Source organism: Homo sapiens, chromosome 16 (assembly GCF_000001405.40).
Source record: "Homo sapiens chromosome 16, GRCh38.p14 Primary Assembly".
Classification (NCBI taxonomy): Eukaryota; Metazoa; Chordata; class Mammalia; order Primates; family Hominidae; genus Homo; species Homo sapiens.
In genome coordinates, this window is record NC_000016.10 from 71,966,956 (window position 1) to 71,983,160 (window position 16,205).

Consider the following 16,205-nt stretch of genomic DNA (forward strand, 5'->3'; position numbering starts at 1 on the left):
TGTTAATCTCTCACACTTCTTTCCAGGGCTTATTCTGTGTAGACAGCTTTGAAACTGAAATCTAATAGTCATTTGTTACTATTTGGCTCAAAGCTTTACTGTGATTTATTGTGGTGATCTTCTTTCTTCTCTCTTGGATCCACAAAGCAGCAGCAACAGCCAACAGGATATAAGTACTCACCAGGAGGGACTGACGCCAGAATTGTCATGCCAGAGCCGAAGGCTGTGCAGGTTCCCTAGAGAGGTCCAAGTGGTGAGAAGGAAGACATCCAGGCCCCCTCGTTCAAAGACTGTCTTCTGGGGGTCACAGAGGTGATGGGGCTCACTCCGTCCCTCTGATCCATAGAGGGTGATGACAACCTACAATGAGACAGGGAAAGATAAAATATAAGGAATTTTAACACAATTCTTTGGGTTTATCCCTAAGGAGAAAGACGAAGACATAGAAAACTATTTAGATCAAGTCTTTCGGATCTTAGACAAGCATAGATAATTCTTCATATATGCAGTATAGATATATTTTTTCTGACATGAAGTCTTGCTCTGTCACCCAGGCTGGAGTGCAGTGGTGTGATCTTGGCTTAGTGCAACCTCTGCCTCCCAAGTTGAAGCAATTTTCGTGCCTCAACCTCCTGAGTAGCTGTGATTATAGTCATGGGCCATCACGCTCAGCTAATTTCTGCATTTTTAGTAGAGAAGGGTTTTCACCTTGTTGGCCAGGCTGGTCTCAAACTCCTGACCTTAGGTGACCTCCCCACCTTGGCCTCCCAAAGTATTGGGATTACAGGCGTGAACCCCCATGTGCGGCCCACATGTACAGTTTAGAACTAGAAAATACCAATCTCTAGTCTCTTTTAAAGTGCTATTGGTTGCCAGGATATCACCAACTCAGAGTGTGTCTCATGTGGCAGAAGACACAAGGCAATGTGAAAAACATTTATTTCATTAACCTTAGCTGTTGTAGCAGCGCTTCTTCGATATCCGGTGTAGACCTGAATAAGGTAGTGAAATTGAGCGCTGGGGTCATTATCAGCCAGGACAGTGACCTTCACCTGCAAGAAAAGCAGAACCATGCAACTTACTAGGCCTCCACTTGGTATAGTTCCTGCCTCCTCCAGCTGAGGAGCAGGAGGATGAACTCCGGCAGGTGTCTGGCAGCCCTGCAGAAAGCAGGGCTGAGGTGTGGGCAGCAGACAGACACATGAGCAGACCTAAGTCACTAAAGTGGGGATGAGGCCTGAACCTCCAGGGCCTGTGCCTCTCAAGTGAAACAGTCATAGAATCACCCGATCAGGTCTTGGGCCTCTAAATCCTTCCACCTCCTTCCCACTTAGGTACAGTCACCAGATAACAGAGAATACCCAGCTAAATCTGCATTTCAGATAAACTATGAATAATTTGGGGCACACTTACACTAACGATGCACTGTTCATTTAAAATGCAAATTTAACTAGGTAGCCTGTATTTTTGTTTACTAATGCTGACAACCCTACACCCAGGGCAACAAGAAGTGAACACTTGGCGTATTCTAGAATTTCCAAGTGCAAGAAAACATAGGAAGAACAAACACATGGAAAGAAGAGGCTGTCAAAAGATTTTTGTTTTAAAAAACATGCCATATAAATTTCTTGTATATTATAGTTATATTCTTATTTTTTGAGACGGAGTCTTGCTATGTTGCCCAGGCTGGAGTGCAGTGGTTCATTCTTGGCTCACTGCAACCTCTGCCTCCCAGGTTCAAGTGATCCTCCCACCTCAGCCTCCTGAGTAGTTGGGACTACAGACATGCACCACCACAGCCGGCTAATTTTTGTATTTTTAGTAGAGACAGGGTTTCACCATGTTGGCCAGGCTGGTCTTGAACTCTTGACCTCAAGCGATCCACCTGCCTCGGCCTCCCAGTGTGCTGGGATTATAGGCGTGAGCCACTTCACCCAGCCAGTTACATTAAGTTACAATTTGATTTACATATAACTTTTTTTTTTTTGAGACAGAATCTCACTCTGTCGGCCAGGCTGGAGTGCAGTGGGGCAATCTCGATCTCAGCTCACCGCAACCTCTGTCTCCCGGGCTCAAGCAATTCTCCTGCCTCAGCCTCCCGAGCAGCTGGGATTACAGGCACATGCCACCATGCCTGGCTAATTTTTGTATTTTTAGTAGAGATGGAGTTTCATCATGTTGGCCAGGCTGGTCTCAAACTCCTGACCTCAGGTGATCCACCTGCCTCGGCCTCCCAAAGTGCTGGGATTACAGGCGTGAGCCACTGCACCCAGCCAAGTTACATGTAACTTTCATATCCAATGTATAAAGTAAGATAAACTTGCATTTAACTTTAGTTAAGCTCTCTAGGTCTTTTCTTTTCTTTTTCTTTTTGGAGACTGGGTCTCTGTTGCCCAGGCTGGAGTAAAATGGCACAATAGCTCACTGCAGCTTCAAGGCTCCTGGGCTCAAGCGATCTTCCCACCTCAGCTGCCCAAGTAGCTGGGACTACAAGCATGCACCACCATGCCAGGCTCTTTTTTTTTTTTTTTTTTTTAGTAGAGACAAGGTCTTGTTATGGTGGCCAGGCTGGCCTTGAACTCTTGAGCTCAAGTGATCCTCCTGCCCTGGCCTCCCCAAGTGTTGGAATTATAGGCATGAGCCACTACACCTGGCTAGTGTTTTCTTTTGGCTCATTCCTGTCCTAAAAGGAGTCCTGCAAGGTCCAATCTTGGAACCAAAGGAAAAAAAAATAGAGAGAAAAAGTTCTCAGGTCTTGAGTCAGCAGACACGAAGATAAATTTAAGAAAAGTTTCACTTGAATTTCTATGCCTCCCAGTACCAGGCTTCCTGCTGCTTTTGACGAAGGTGTTTTTTCCTTCATCTTATTTAATTACTCAAAACATCATGGCAAATCTGTTGAAATCAAAGTCTCATTACCTTCTGCATATCTGCTTGATCCTTTTTCCGAGCCCACACAACTGTGATCACATAAAATCCTAAAAGGCTGGCCAGCAGTGACACCCCAACAGGATTGTTGGTCACGCGAAGGAACAGTTTGATCGTGTCTTCAACATTCACGGTCCTGGGCACGACAAAGAAGTCGCTGGCAAAGAAGGTCAGGTGGTTACAGAGACACTGTGTCCTCAGAATTGTGCTCTGTGGCCCAACCTGGAATTAGAATCAAGACGTTGATTCTAGTCAGACAGAGTGCTAAGGAGGGGACAGACATAAAACAAACACCAGCAATTTAGAGATGGAAAGAGGTATCTGGTTCTCTCATTCACAGCTGGTGATGGCGTAAATTGGTATAACCAATGTGGAAAGTAATTTAGCAACATCTAGTACAGCTGAAGCAGAACAAACTCTTTGAATCCTGCAATTCCAGTTCTGAGTGTATACATGTTCTAGGGGAACTGTGCACATGTGTATGAAGATATATGAAAAGGAATGTTTTGTCACCTTTGTCTATAATTATCAAAAATAGGAAACAACTTACATGTTCAATAGCAGAACATACAAATGAACAAGTACATAAGTAAGCAGAGGCAAACTGATTGAATTCTATACAGCAGTTAAAAATGAATGAATCAGCGGGTGTGGTGGCTCATATCTGTAATCCTAGCACTTTGGGAGGCTGAGGCAGGTGGATCACCTGAGGCTAGGAGTTTGAGACCAGCCTGGACAACATGGTGAAACCCCATCTCTACTAAAAATATAAAAATTAGCCAGGCTTGGAGGCGCATGCCTGTAGTCCCAGCTACTTGGGAGGCTGAGGCAGGAGAATTGCTTGAACCTGAGAGACAGAGGTTGCAGTGAGCCCAGATCACACCACTGCATTCCACCCTGGGTGACAGAGCAAGACTCTGTCTCCAAAATAAATAAATAATACATAAATATAAAAATTTTAAAAAATGGATGAATTAGAGGTAGATGTATCAACATGGATAAATGCTAAGTGAATACAACAAGAGATATGTACAGTATAATGCCATTTGCCCAAAGCCTAAGAAGCATGCAAAACACTTATTTATCTATTCATTGTCAGTTTCCCTCTCCAGAATGTCAGTTCATGAGGCGATTGTCTTGTTCACTGCTGTGTCTCTAGTTCCTAGACTTGGGCATGGCACGTAGAAGACACTCAATAAATATTCGGTGAAAGAATGAATTCCCCCCTCAAATTCAGGCCAGTAGTTACCCTTTGGTGGAAGGGAAGGAAGGAGAGAGACTAGAGAGGGATACTCAGAGGGCTTCAATTATTCATGAGTGTTTTATTATTTAAGAAAATATGAAGCAGAGCAAAATACTAACTTTGATAAAGCTGAATGTGCATTCAATGTTTTTTATTATTCTTTATGGCTTTCCATATGTTGGAACATTTCTGCATAATATTTAAAAATATGTCAGTAGGTGATTACATGGAAGCTACCAATTCTGTGTTTGGTTTCGTGGGTGAAAAGCCTCCAGTACTGTCATTATGACTACTTCTTTCCATGGCACAGAATTAAGTCCTGGAGGCCCAATCTAGTCTGCCTTTGGAAGAACTCTTGCGCTGTATTTGGGGCAGCTCAATTCCTTTCATGGAGTCCAAGCACTTCAGCGTGCTTCAAGGAGGTGGGAAATATCCGATGCCTTCTGCAATCAACTGGTCTGTGCTGTGAGAGGAGAAAAGCTCTCAAGCTTCTCTACTCAAAGTATGGTTTCCCTAACAAGCAGCACTGGGATCAGCTGGAAGCTTGTTAGAAAGGCCTGACCAGAGCTACTGCTTCAGAATCTACATTTTAACAAACTGATTATAGATTTGCTTGATAGCCATTGTCCAGCTATGACTGCCTGAGGCTATGAATGGTGCAGATGCCTTCCTAAGAATCCTCTCTCTGTCATGCCTGTAATTCCAGCACTTTGAGAGGCCAAGGCGGGCAGATCACCTGAGGTCGGGAGTTTGAGACCAGCCTGACCAACATGGAGAAACCCCATCTCTACTAAAAATACAGTAATTAGGCCGGGCACGGTGGCTCACACCTGTAATCCCAGCACTTTGGGAGGCCGAGGCAGGCGGATCACGAGGACAGGAGATCGAGACCATCCTGGCTAACACGGTGAAACCCTGTCTCTAATAAACATACACAAAATTAGCCGGGCGCAGTGGTGGGTGCCTGTAGTCCTAGCTACTTGGGAGGCTGAGGCAGGAGAATGGCATGAACCTGGGAGGCAGAGTTTGCAGTGAGCCAAGATCGCGCCACTGCACCCCAGCCTGGCCGATAGAGCAAGACTGGTCTCAAAAAAACACACAAAAAAACAAAAAAAAACAATAATTAGCTGGGTGTGGTGGTGCATGCCTGTAATCCCAGCTACTGGGGAGGCCGAGGCAGGAGAATCGCTTGAGCCCAGCGGGGCAGAGGTTGCGGTGAGCCGAGATCATGCCATTGCACTCCAGCCTGGGCAACAAGAGGGAAACTCCCTCTATAAGTAATCATCATCATCCTCCTCCTCCTCCTTCTGGCCTCCCAAAGTGCAGGAGGGAGGATTGCTTGAGCTCAGAAGTTCAAGACCAGCATAGGCACCATGGCGAGACCCTGTCTGTTCAAAAATCTAAAACATTAGCCAGGCATGGTGGCACATGCCTGTGGTCCTCATTACTTGAAAGTTTGAGGCAGGCGGATCTTTTGAGCCCAGGAGGTTGAGGCTGCAGTAAGCCGTGATCATGCCACTGCACTCCAGCCTGAGGGACAGAATGAGATCCCACCTCAAAAAAAAAAGAAAATTATCTTTCCTTCTCTTTCCAATCTAGATGGCACTTTCTCAGCTCTTTTTAGAACAGCTTGCTGATTTGCAAGACCTTACACCACATTCTTTGAGCAACCAAACCAGGACTTTCATCAGGCAGGATCTCACAGAATCACGAGTGTGCAAATATAATAGTGCTGGTTTAAAGCAGTTGGACACCAGGAACAAGGTGATAATTACAAAAGTGACAACCTGTCCTCACCTGGCCTGGAACGTAAAAGAATCTGAGAATGTATTTCTTGAGCTATGAAAGTTCTCCTTCGTTTAGCAAGAGGTTTCATTTTACCCACCCACAACATATTTAATACTTGTAGAATTTTATGGCTTCCACACGCTATTTTATCCACACTTGTCAGATCCACCCTGGACTGTGTTTGAGAAAGAAATCACAAAGATAAAGCACAAAGCTGCTCCTGCTTCGAAGAGGCACACTTGCCCTGCCCACCACACACAACCCTCCTCCCTCCTTTTGCCCAGGCAGAGTTATTTCAAACCACCTGATTATTTTTCTTTCTGGGCTGCCCCAAATGAGATAACGGATGCATTGGGCTTAACAGTAGCTATGGCAGAAGAGAGGCCCAAGAAGCGGCTCAGTTTCTTACTTGGCATCCGGCGCTGCTCCATGTCTGGTTGTGGATCTCCCAGTAGTAACACTGAGTGACGGCGGTGATGACCGAGACCAAGCTGGGTGTCTGCTGAGCACCCTCCTGCCTCTCACTCAGCACAGCTGTTATATAGTAGGTGCCAATCCCGTGCTGCAGATGCTCTGGATTCAGCACCCACGTGTACTCCTCATCTTAGAACAAAGAAGAGTGCTTACTTGTATATCAAATGGAACAAAAACACCAATGAACCTCTCTTCTAAAGGATCTATTATTAATATTTTACAAATGAGACCATGATGAAACTAGAGTCACAAATGATTTGAAAGAAAATGACCAGTGATACAACCCTGGGCTCTGGATTACTACTGTTCCAGTAAAGAACTACAGTCTTTTGGCCAGGTGTGGTGACTCACGCCTATAATCTCAGCACTTTGGGAAGCTGATGCGGGCGGATCACTTGAGGTCAGGAGTTCGAGACCAGCCTGGTGAACATGGTGAAACCCCATCTCTACTAAAAATACAAAAATTAGTGGGGTGTGGTGATGTGAGCCTGTAATCCCAGCTACTCAGGAGGCTGAGGCAGGAAAATTGCTTGAACTTGGGAGGTGGAAGTTGCAGTGAGCCGAAATCGCACCACTATACTCTAGCCTGGGCAACAGAGTGAGATTTTGTCTCAAAAAAAAAAAAAAATATATATATTCTTCTGGTATGTGAACATGTGAACATTTAGGTCTAATGATTTAGAATGTATTACGAGGTTTAGAAAAATGAAATGAGCACATATCTAAGTTAGCAGATAGAAGACTAAGGTAACAAACCCCAGGGTGAAGCAAACATAGAGATAGGGCAGCTTCAGGAACAAAGCCCAGGACTGCACGCTAGGGACCGGAGGTCGGGCCTGGCTCTGTCACCAGCTGGCTGGTAGGGGCTAAGGTGAGTCATCCAGTCTCTCTGGGCCTCAGCTTTCTCATCTTTCAAATAGTCCTGTCTCTCAAAAAAAGGTTCCTGAAGGCCCCTTCCGGCTCTGAATGACATATCATTGCCAAGATCACCAAGAAAAACTGAGTCCATGGCCAGGCGCAGTGGCTCAGGCCTATAATCCAAGCACTTTGGGAGGTTAAGGCAGGAGGATTATTTGAGCCCAGGAGTTTGAGACCTAGCTTGGCGAACATGGCAAAACCCTGTCTCTACTAAAAACACAAAAAATTAGCCAGGCATGGTGGCATATGCGCCTGCAGTCCCAGCTGCTTGGGAGGCTGAGGCATGAGAATCGCTTGAGCCCAGGAGGCGGAGGCTACAGTGAGTGGAGATCGCACCACTGCGCTCCACCCTGGGCGACACAGTGAGCCTGTCTCAAAACAGAAACAGAAACAAAACTGAGTACACCTTTGGAATTGGGAAAGGGCCCGTTGGTAATTTCCACAGATTCTGTAGTGGGCAGCCTGGTAGTGAGCATTGCTGCCTCGGGGACTTTGCCTAAAAGCAAGAACTTAGAAGTGATTGTTCCTGTGTGAGTGGTGCCCATGCGAGAGCCAGAGAAAGTTCTTTCCAGTATGGAAGGTGGTCATGACGGGAGACTGTAGCATGCTTTCTCCATTCAGATTTTTCCCAACGTAAAAATAAATACAGAAGTGTAGCTCTTATTAAGACTTTTCAGTACTATATTTAAAGTTGATACCCACAGAGCATGGTTTTGATCAAGTATATCTGGGCACTATTTATATATATCAGGAATTTTTATTTTTTAGAGACAGTGTCTTGCTCTGTCACCCAGGCTGGAGTGCAGTGGTATCATCGAAACTCATTGTGGCTTTGAACTCCTTGGCTCAAGCAATCCTCTTGCCTCAGCCTCCCAAGTAGTTAGGACTACAGGTGCACGCCACCACGCTCGGCTAATTTTTTTTTTTTTTTTGTGGAGACAGAGTCTCGCTCTGTTGCCCAGGCTAGTCTCAAATTCCTGGGCTTAAGTGATCCTCCTGCCTTGGCCTCTCAAAGTGCTGGCGTTACAGGGGTGAGCCACTACACCAGGCCAGACATTTTTAACTGTAATGTTATGTCTCAGAAATTCTTAACTTTTCTAAACTACAATACATTCATTCTGATTTTATACCAAGGCATACTGAGATATCATCAGGCCTTTCTTCCTCAAATCTAAGATTAGAAATAAAGTTGAAATACATAGGACATATTTCATATATAGTCATCTACAATATATAAATGTGAAGTATATTTAACTCATGGTGCTGTGAGCCTTACTTCTGCTGTGGGTCTCAACATGTTATTATGAAAATCTTCAACCATACAAAGAATTTTACAGGGAATAACCATATAACCATTAACTAGATTCTACAATTAACATCCTACTAAGTCTGCTTCCTTACATACATATCCTTATCCATCCTATAATCCATCTTTAAAAAAAAATGATTTTATGGTCACGTGTCTACACATGTGGTAAAATCACACAGGACTCAATACACACACATACAGAAATGTGCTTGTAAACCTGGTGAAATCGGAATAAAATCAGTGATTGTATTAATGTTATTTTCTGGTTGTGATATACTCTAGTTATGCAAGATACTACCATTCAGAGAAACTGGATGAGAGGTATACAAGCTGTTTCTGTTCTTTTTTTTTTTTTTGAGGCAGGGTCTGTCACCCAGGCTGGACAGCAGTGGCACAATCTCAGCTCACTGCAACCTCTGCCTCCTGGGTTCAAGTGATTCTCATGCCTCAGTCTCCCGAGTAGCTGGGATTACATGTGTGCACCACCATGACCAGCTAATTTTTATACTTTTAGGAGAGATGGGGTTTCACCGTGTGGGCCAGCGTAGTCTTAAACTCCTGACCTAAGTTGATCCACCTGCCTCTGCCTCCCAAAGTGCTAGGATTACAGTGGGATTTCAGGCATGAGCCACTGAGTGCCCAGCCTGTCTTTTTTTTTTTTTTTTAAGACAGTCTTGCTCTGTAGCCTGGAGCGCAATGGTGCGATCTTGGCTCACGGCAACCTCTGCCTCCCAGGCTTAAGCAATTCTTCTGCCTCAGCCTCCCAAGTAGCTGGGATTACAGGTGCCCGCCACCACACCCATCTAATTTTTTGTATTTTTAGCAGAGATGGGGTTTCATCATGTTGACCAGGCTGGTCTCCAACTCCTGACCTCAGGTGATCCACCCGCCTCAGCCTCCCAAAGTGCTGGGGTTACAGGTATGAGCCACTCTGCCTGGCCTGTCTCTGTTATTTCTTATAACTGCATGTGAATCTACAATTATCTCAAAATGAAAATTTTTTTAAAAAAGAAAAAAAAGTGGCCACATGAAGTAGCTCATGTCTGTAATCCCAGCACTTCAGGAGGCTGAGACAGGAAGATTGCTTGAAGCTGGGAGTTCAAGACCAGCCTGGGCAACATGGCAAGACCCTGTCTCCACTTTTTGAGACGGAGTCTGTCTCTGTCTCCCAGGCTGGAGTGCAGTGGCACGGTGTCAGCTCACTGCAAGCTCCGTCTCCCAGGTTCAGGACATTTTCCTGCCTCAGCCTCCCAAATAGCTGGGACTACAGGCACCTGCCACCACACCTGGCTAATTTTTTTGCATTTTTAGTAGAGACAGGGTTTCACTGTGTTAGCCAGGATGGTCTCGATCTCCTGACCTTGTGATCTGCCCGCCTCGGCCTCCCAAAGTGCTGGGATTATAGGCGCAAGCCACCGCGCCCGGCCCACAAAATTTTTTTTAAGAAATTAGCCAGATGTGGTGGTGCGCACTTGTAGTCCCAGCTACTTAAGAGGCTAAGGCAGGAGGATCCCCTGAGCCTGACAGTTTGAGGCTGCAGTCAACAATGATGGTGCCACTGCACTACATCCTAGGCAAAAAGAAATCAAAGTAAGTTTCTGACAGCTGATTGGGTTTTACCTTTTTGCCACACCTTATCCTTTGGAAGGGTGATGTTCAGGTGGAAGTGAGTGCAGTTAGGCTGATACTGGAACCCCAGGTAGAGTGTCATTAAAAGGGGACTGTCAGGATCTATGCTCACTATCAAGGATTTCTCCAAGGAAGTGACGTTCACTGTGATTGTAAGCTGATGTGTGCTCATGTTGAGGCTGGTGGGATGGGTTTCCAAGCTAACATTTCTCCAGAGCATGATCTAGAATAAGAGACAGTTAATCATTATAATGGTCCATCCATTGATGTCTTTCAAAATCCTTTATATTGATAAGGTAAGGAAACGTCCTAGCTCTTTTTTTTTTTTTTTTTTTTGAGATGGGGTCTTGCTATGTTGGCCACGTTGGTCTTGAACTCCTGGTCTCAAGCAATCCTCCCGCTTCAGTCTCTCAAAATGCTAGGATTATATGCATGAGCCACTGTGCCCAGCCAGGTCTTCCTCATTGGATGTTAGTAGCTAATACTGCTGGGGTTAAGGATAAGTACATAGTCCCAGACCTATAACACTTCTTATTCTTCTTATTTTTGAGACCAAGCATTACTCTGTCACCCAGGCTGGTGTGCAGCAGTGCGATCTCAGCTCACTGCAAACTCCACCTCCTGGATTCAAGCTATTCTCCTGCCTCAGCCTCCAGAGTAGCTGGGATAACAGCCACCCACTGCCATGCCAGTTAATTTTTGTATTTTTAGTAGAGATGGGGTTTCACTATGTTGGCCAGGCTGGTCTCGAACTCCTGACCTCAAGTGATCTGCCTGCCTCAGCCTCCCAAAGTGCTGGGATTACAGGCATGAGCCACTGCGCCCAGCCCTTTAAAACACTTTTTCTAAGGATAAGGTGTATCTCTTTGTAAAAGTTCCTAAGATGTTAATAACAAAACAATGGCACTGCCATCAATCTAACATAATTCCCTTTAAGTTGTTGCATCCTTCCATCCTGTTGCAGAATATCCCATTCTCTTCTATTTTATTCCCTAAGAATCAGTTCCTACCTCAATGTCCTCCATTAAATCATGGACTTGGAGCAATTTACGATTAGCGCTTAGTAACACACTTCCAATGCTTCCAACAATGTTTCTGTTGTCCAAATCCTTGAAGGGATTGAAAGCTAGTCCTGTTATCTAAAGACAAAGAGAAGCCCAGTTTTATCCATTGCTGAAATATTTTTAAGTGACCCCACTAGAAAGATATATCATATATACATATGTATATATGTGTGTGTGTGTGTGTGTGTATATATATATATATATATATATATACATACATACATACATACATACTTTTTTTTTTTTTTTGAGAAAGAGTCACACTCTGTCAATCAGGATGGAGTGCAGTGGCACAACCTCAGCTCACTGCAATCTCCACCTCCCAGGTTCAAGCGATTCTCCTGCCTCAGCCTCCCAAGTAGCTGGGACTACAGGTGCACACCACCATGCCTGGCTAATTTTTGTATTTTTAGTAGAGACAGGGTTTCGCTATGTTGGCCACGCTGGTCTCGAACTCCTGGCTTCAAGTAATCCACCTGCCTCAGCCTCCCAAAGTGTTGAGATTACAGGCTTGAGCTATCATGCCCAGCCGGATATCATATATTAAATATTGGGATGTGCCCCCTACTAATACCGCAAATGAAATAACATTCCCCATTTATAACCTCTATGAGAAACAGTAAATTAAAGATGAATTATCGTTGGGATCCCCAGAATTATTATTTTTAATCTTTATATCTAGAGGATTCTATTTTACTAGGAAGTAACTGTTCTGCTCTTCAGGATAAGGCAACAATGCTACTTGTATTTGTCAGGTAACTGCTGAAAGGAATACAATATATTGATATGACTGGGTTGGTATACTGAGTCAATAATTATTTAGATAGTCTCAGCTTTTTGTAAATAGTGCAGAGGCTGGGCATGGTGGCTCACACCTGTAATCCCAGCACTACGGGAGGCTCAGGTGGGTGAATCACTTGAGGTCCGTAGTTTGAGACCAGTCTGGCCAAAATGGCGAAACCCCGCCTCTACTAAAAATACAAAAATTAGCCAGGCATGGTGGCCCATGCCTGTAATCCCAGCTACTTGGGAGGCTGAGGCAGGGGAATCGCTTGAACCTGGGAGGCAGAGGTTGCAGTGAGCCGAGATCACGCCACTGCACTCCAGCCTGGGTGACAGATTGAGACTCCATCTCAACAAAACAAAACAAAACAAAACAAGACAAAACAAAACAAAACAAAACAAGAAAACAAAAAACACAACAACAAAAAACAAACTGCAGAGTTGAAATCAATTCAAATTACAACACAAATTTAGTTAAATCCAGAAATCTGTTTAATGTTCCCAACTTCTACAGTGGATCATTTTTAAGAGGCCTCTATCCCTGCCAGTGTAAAATAAAAATGAATGCTACATAAACTCTCTCATCTGATCTGGTCTGTTCAGTTTACATTTCATGATACATTACTTTCACCCAAATGCCTACATGGCCATCAGATCCCATTTTCATTCTGATCACAATCAATTTCACACTCACTTGGACATTAACTCCTGGATGTTTATTCAAGAGCTCCTTCAAAGCTAAAGCCGACGGAAAGCCTAGCCTCACAGGGGCTGGGTGACCCAGAGTGTAAGAGCTCAGCGGTAAAGTTGATATGTTTTGTCTAATGAGAAAAGTTAAAATGGAAGTCAATTTTTGTGTGTCCTCTGAAAGTGAAAAACACAGTGAAACTCTCCCCGTTCCTTCTTCCCATTAACCTGCTCAGCAGCAGAGTAGCATTGGCAGAGGTCAAAGTCACTGAAGACTCGGGAGACTGGTTCTGCTCTAGAAATGCTTCCCCGATATTCCCAAACTCCACCAAGGACATTTCCAGGATGTCTTCTACCTGCATGGAAAGGAAAACAGTGTGTGACTTGTAAAACCTCAGTGTCTTATGTTAGTAAAATAATGTTTTGGAGAAGATTGGAAGGGGAATTTTCACAGTGTTGTAATGAAGGGTAGTATTCCTTAGAGAGGACCTTGGAATCTCACAGAAAGTACTTGCAACCTGGCTAAAGACTTAGCATCCTTTGAACCAAACTAAGAGGGCTGGCCAAGGAAATATGCCTTTGCCCCATCATATAATTGCCCTAGACCTGCTCACGATAGAGTTTTTAAATGACAGCTTTATTGAGGTAACTTTCACATATACAGTTCATCCACTCAGAGTATATAATTTAACGTTTTTTAGTATATTCACAGGATTGTGCAACCATCACCACAATCTAATTTTAGGATTCATCCTCCCTAAAATAAACATGGTGGCCGGGTGTGGTGGCTCATACCTGTAATCCCAACACTTTGGGAGGCTGAGGCAGGTGGGTCACTTGAGGTCAAAAGTTTGAGACCTACCTGGCCGACATTGTGAAACCCTGTCTCTACTAAAAGTACCAAAAATTAGGCAGGCATGGTGGTGTGCACCTGTAGTCTCAGCTACTTGGGAGGCTGAGGTGGAAGAATTGCTTAAACCCGGGAGGTGGAGGTTGCAGAGCACCCAGATCACACTACTGCACTCCAGCCTGGGCAACAGAGCGAGACTCTGTCTCATAAAATAAAATAAACCTGGTACCCATTAGCAGTCACTCTCCATTCCCTCATCCCTAGTCCCTCTAGCTCTAGGCAACAACGAATCTACTTTATGTGTCTACAGATTTGCCTCTTTGGGACATTTCATATAAGTGAATCACAACATACAGTCTTTTGTGATAGGCTTCTTTCACCTGGCATAATGTTTTCAAAGCTCATGTTGGAGCATGTACCAGGACTTCATTCCTTTTTGTTGCTGAATAATATTCCATTGTATGAATAGACCAGATTCTACTTAGCCATCCATTAGATCATAGATGTGTGGGTTATCTCCACTTTTTGGCTATTTAGCTATTAAACCATGCTGCTACAAACTTGAGTGTACAAGTTTCTGTATGGACATGTTTTCAACTCTCTTGGGTAGACACTAGGAGTAGAATTGCTAGGTTACATGGCGATTCTATTTTTTACATTTTAAGCAACTGATAAATTGTTTTCCAAAGTGGCTGCATCATTTTACAATCGAACAATGGATAGGGTGGCAAGTTCTCTGCATCCTTGCCAGTACTTGTTATTTTCTGTCTTTTTGGGTGTGAAGTGGTATCTCATTTTAGTTTTGATTTGCATTTCCCTAATGACCAATGATGTCGAGCATCTTTTCATGTGAATAGCAAACATAACCTGTTGAGTGTTTGCTTTATGCCAACACTTTCCTAAATTCTTTTTTTTTTTTTTTTTTTTTTTTTTTATGGAATCTCGCTCTGTTGTCTGGGCTGTGTGCAGTGGCATGATCTCGATTCACTGCAACCTCTGCCTCCCAGGTTCAAGCGATTCTCCTGCCTCAGCCTCCTGAGTAGCTGGGATTACAGGCATGTACCACAATGCCTGGCTCATTTTTGTATTTTTAGTAGAGATGCAGTTTCGCCATGTGGGCCAGGCTGGTCTCGAACTCCTGACCTCAGGTGATCTGCCTGCCTTGGCCTCCCAAAGTGCTGGGATTACAGGTGTGAGCCACCGGGTCCAGCCCCTAAGTCCTTTTCACTTGATTACAGCACTAGGGAGTCTTGGCTCACTGGTGGGGTGGGGAGGGAGACCTTGGAGAAGGCATGGCAGAGGAGTTTCTTCTGCAGCAGAAACTTCAGCAAGATTATCTTTAAAGGTCTGGGGAGAGGCTGTGATACCTGGACCTGTCAAGATTAAAATGCTTCTAAGCAGATCTGGCCACCTGCATATCTGGCACCTACCGGCTCAGTATGACGCTTGGATTCCAGCCAACTTCCTTCTCCAGCTTTGGTGACATTGTTGAGGGAATGAAAGGGGCAGACAGTTGGAGGAACTTTGAAGCCCAGACTGTTGTTGTTCTGAAATGGGATCCTGAGTAACTCCTCACTCAGGTAAATAAGGGAATTGATGAGATTAACCTGGGAGGATTAGAAAGCAAACATACACCCTTGAATTGTTTGCTTTTTTTTTTTTTTTTTTTTTTTGGTGACAGAGTTTCACTCTTGTTGCCCAGGCTAGAGTGCAATGGCGTGATATCGACTCACTGCAACCTCTGCCTCCCGGGTTCAAGCAATTCTCCTGCCTCAGCCTCCTGAGTAGCTAGGACTACAGGCATGAGCCACCATGCTCAACTAATTTTGTATTTTTAGCAGAGATGGAGTTTCTCCATGTTGGTCAGGCTGGTCTCCAACTCCTGACCTCAGGTGATCTTCCTACCCTGGCCTCCCAAAGTGCTGGGATTACAGGTGTGAGCCACCACGCCCAGCCTATGATTGCTTTTTAAAATTTTACTTTTAAGAGATGGGGTCTTGCTCTGTTGCCCCGTCTGGAGTGCAGTGGTACAATCATGCCTCACTGCAGCCTCGAACTTCTGGACTCAAGCAATCCTCCTTCCTCAGCCTCCCCAGTAGCTAGGACACAGGTGGGTACCACCACACCTAATTTTTAAAAATTTTTTGTAGAGGCAGGGGCTCACTGTATTGCCCAGGCTGGTCTCAAACACCTGGCCCCAAGAGATCCTCCTGTCTTGGCCTCCCAAAGTGTTTAGATTACAGACATGAGCCACACACCTAGCACATGATTATTTTCAATTTGCATACTTCTTATTAGCAGCTTAATATTCGTTATACATTTCAAATGCATTTTATAAAAAAAAAGTTACAATTTGACAGGGAAGGAGAATATATTATTTCATATAACCTATAAGGGAGGATTCATATTTCATGTTATTCTGACAAACTGACAATTCTTTTTGAGTGGTGAGTAGACCAAATATCCAATTAATACCATCAGACTAAAAAAAGGAATGAAGAAAAGACCAATGCTGAGTTTTTTGTCTTTTTA

The 16,205-nt window shown here is 44.3% G+C and overlaps 1 protein-coding gene across 12 annotated transcripts in view; it reads right to left on the reverse strand.

Annotated features, from left to right (window-relative positions):
- PKD1L3 (polycystin 1 like 3, transient receptor potential channel interacting) overlaps positions 1–16,205 on the reverse strand; it is a 70,865-nt gene that overhangs the window by 37,418 nt on the left and 17,242 nt on the right. For 11 of the 12 annotated variants that reach the window (XM_024450254.2, XM_024450257.2, XM_024450255.2 and 8 more), the window contains 9 exons: positions 15,104–15,280; positions 13,052–13,179; positions 12,831–12,957; positions 11,300–11,428; positions 10,281–10,512; positions 6,369–6,562; positions 2,920–3,150; positions 951–1,052; positions 182–360 (listed from right to left, as the gene is read on the reverse strand). In XM_024450254.2, coding sequence (XP_024306022.1) covers positions 182–360; positions 951–1,052; positions 2,920–3,150; positions 6,369–6,562; positions 10,281–10,512; positions 11,300–11,428; positions 12,831–12,957; positions 13,052–13,179; positions 15,104–15,280 — 1,499 coding nt within the window. The remainder of the gene's footprint in view (positions 1–181; positions 361–950; positions 1,053–2,919; positions 3,151–6,368; positions 6,563–10,280; positions 10,513–11,299; positions 11,429–12,830; positions 12,958–13,051; positions 13,180–15,103; positions 15,281–16,205) is intronic. The other variant, XM_024450256.2, reaches the window with a different exon arrangement.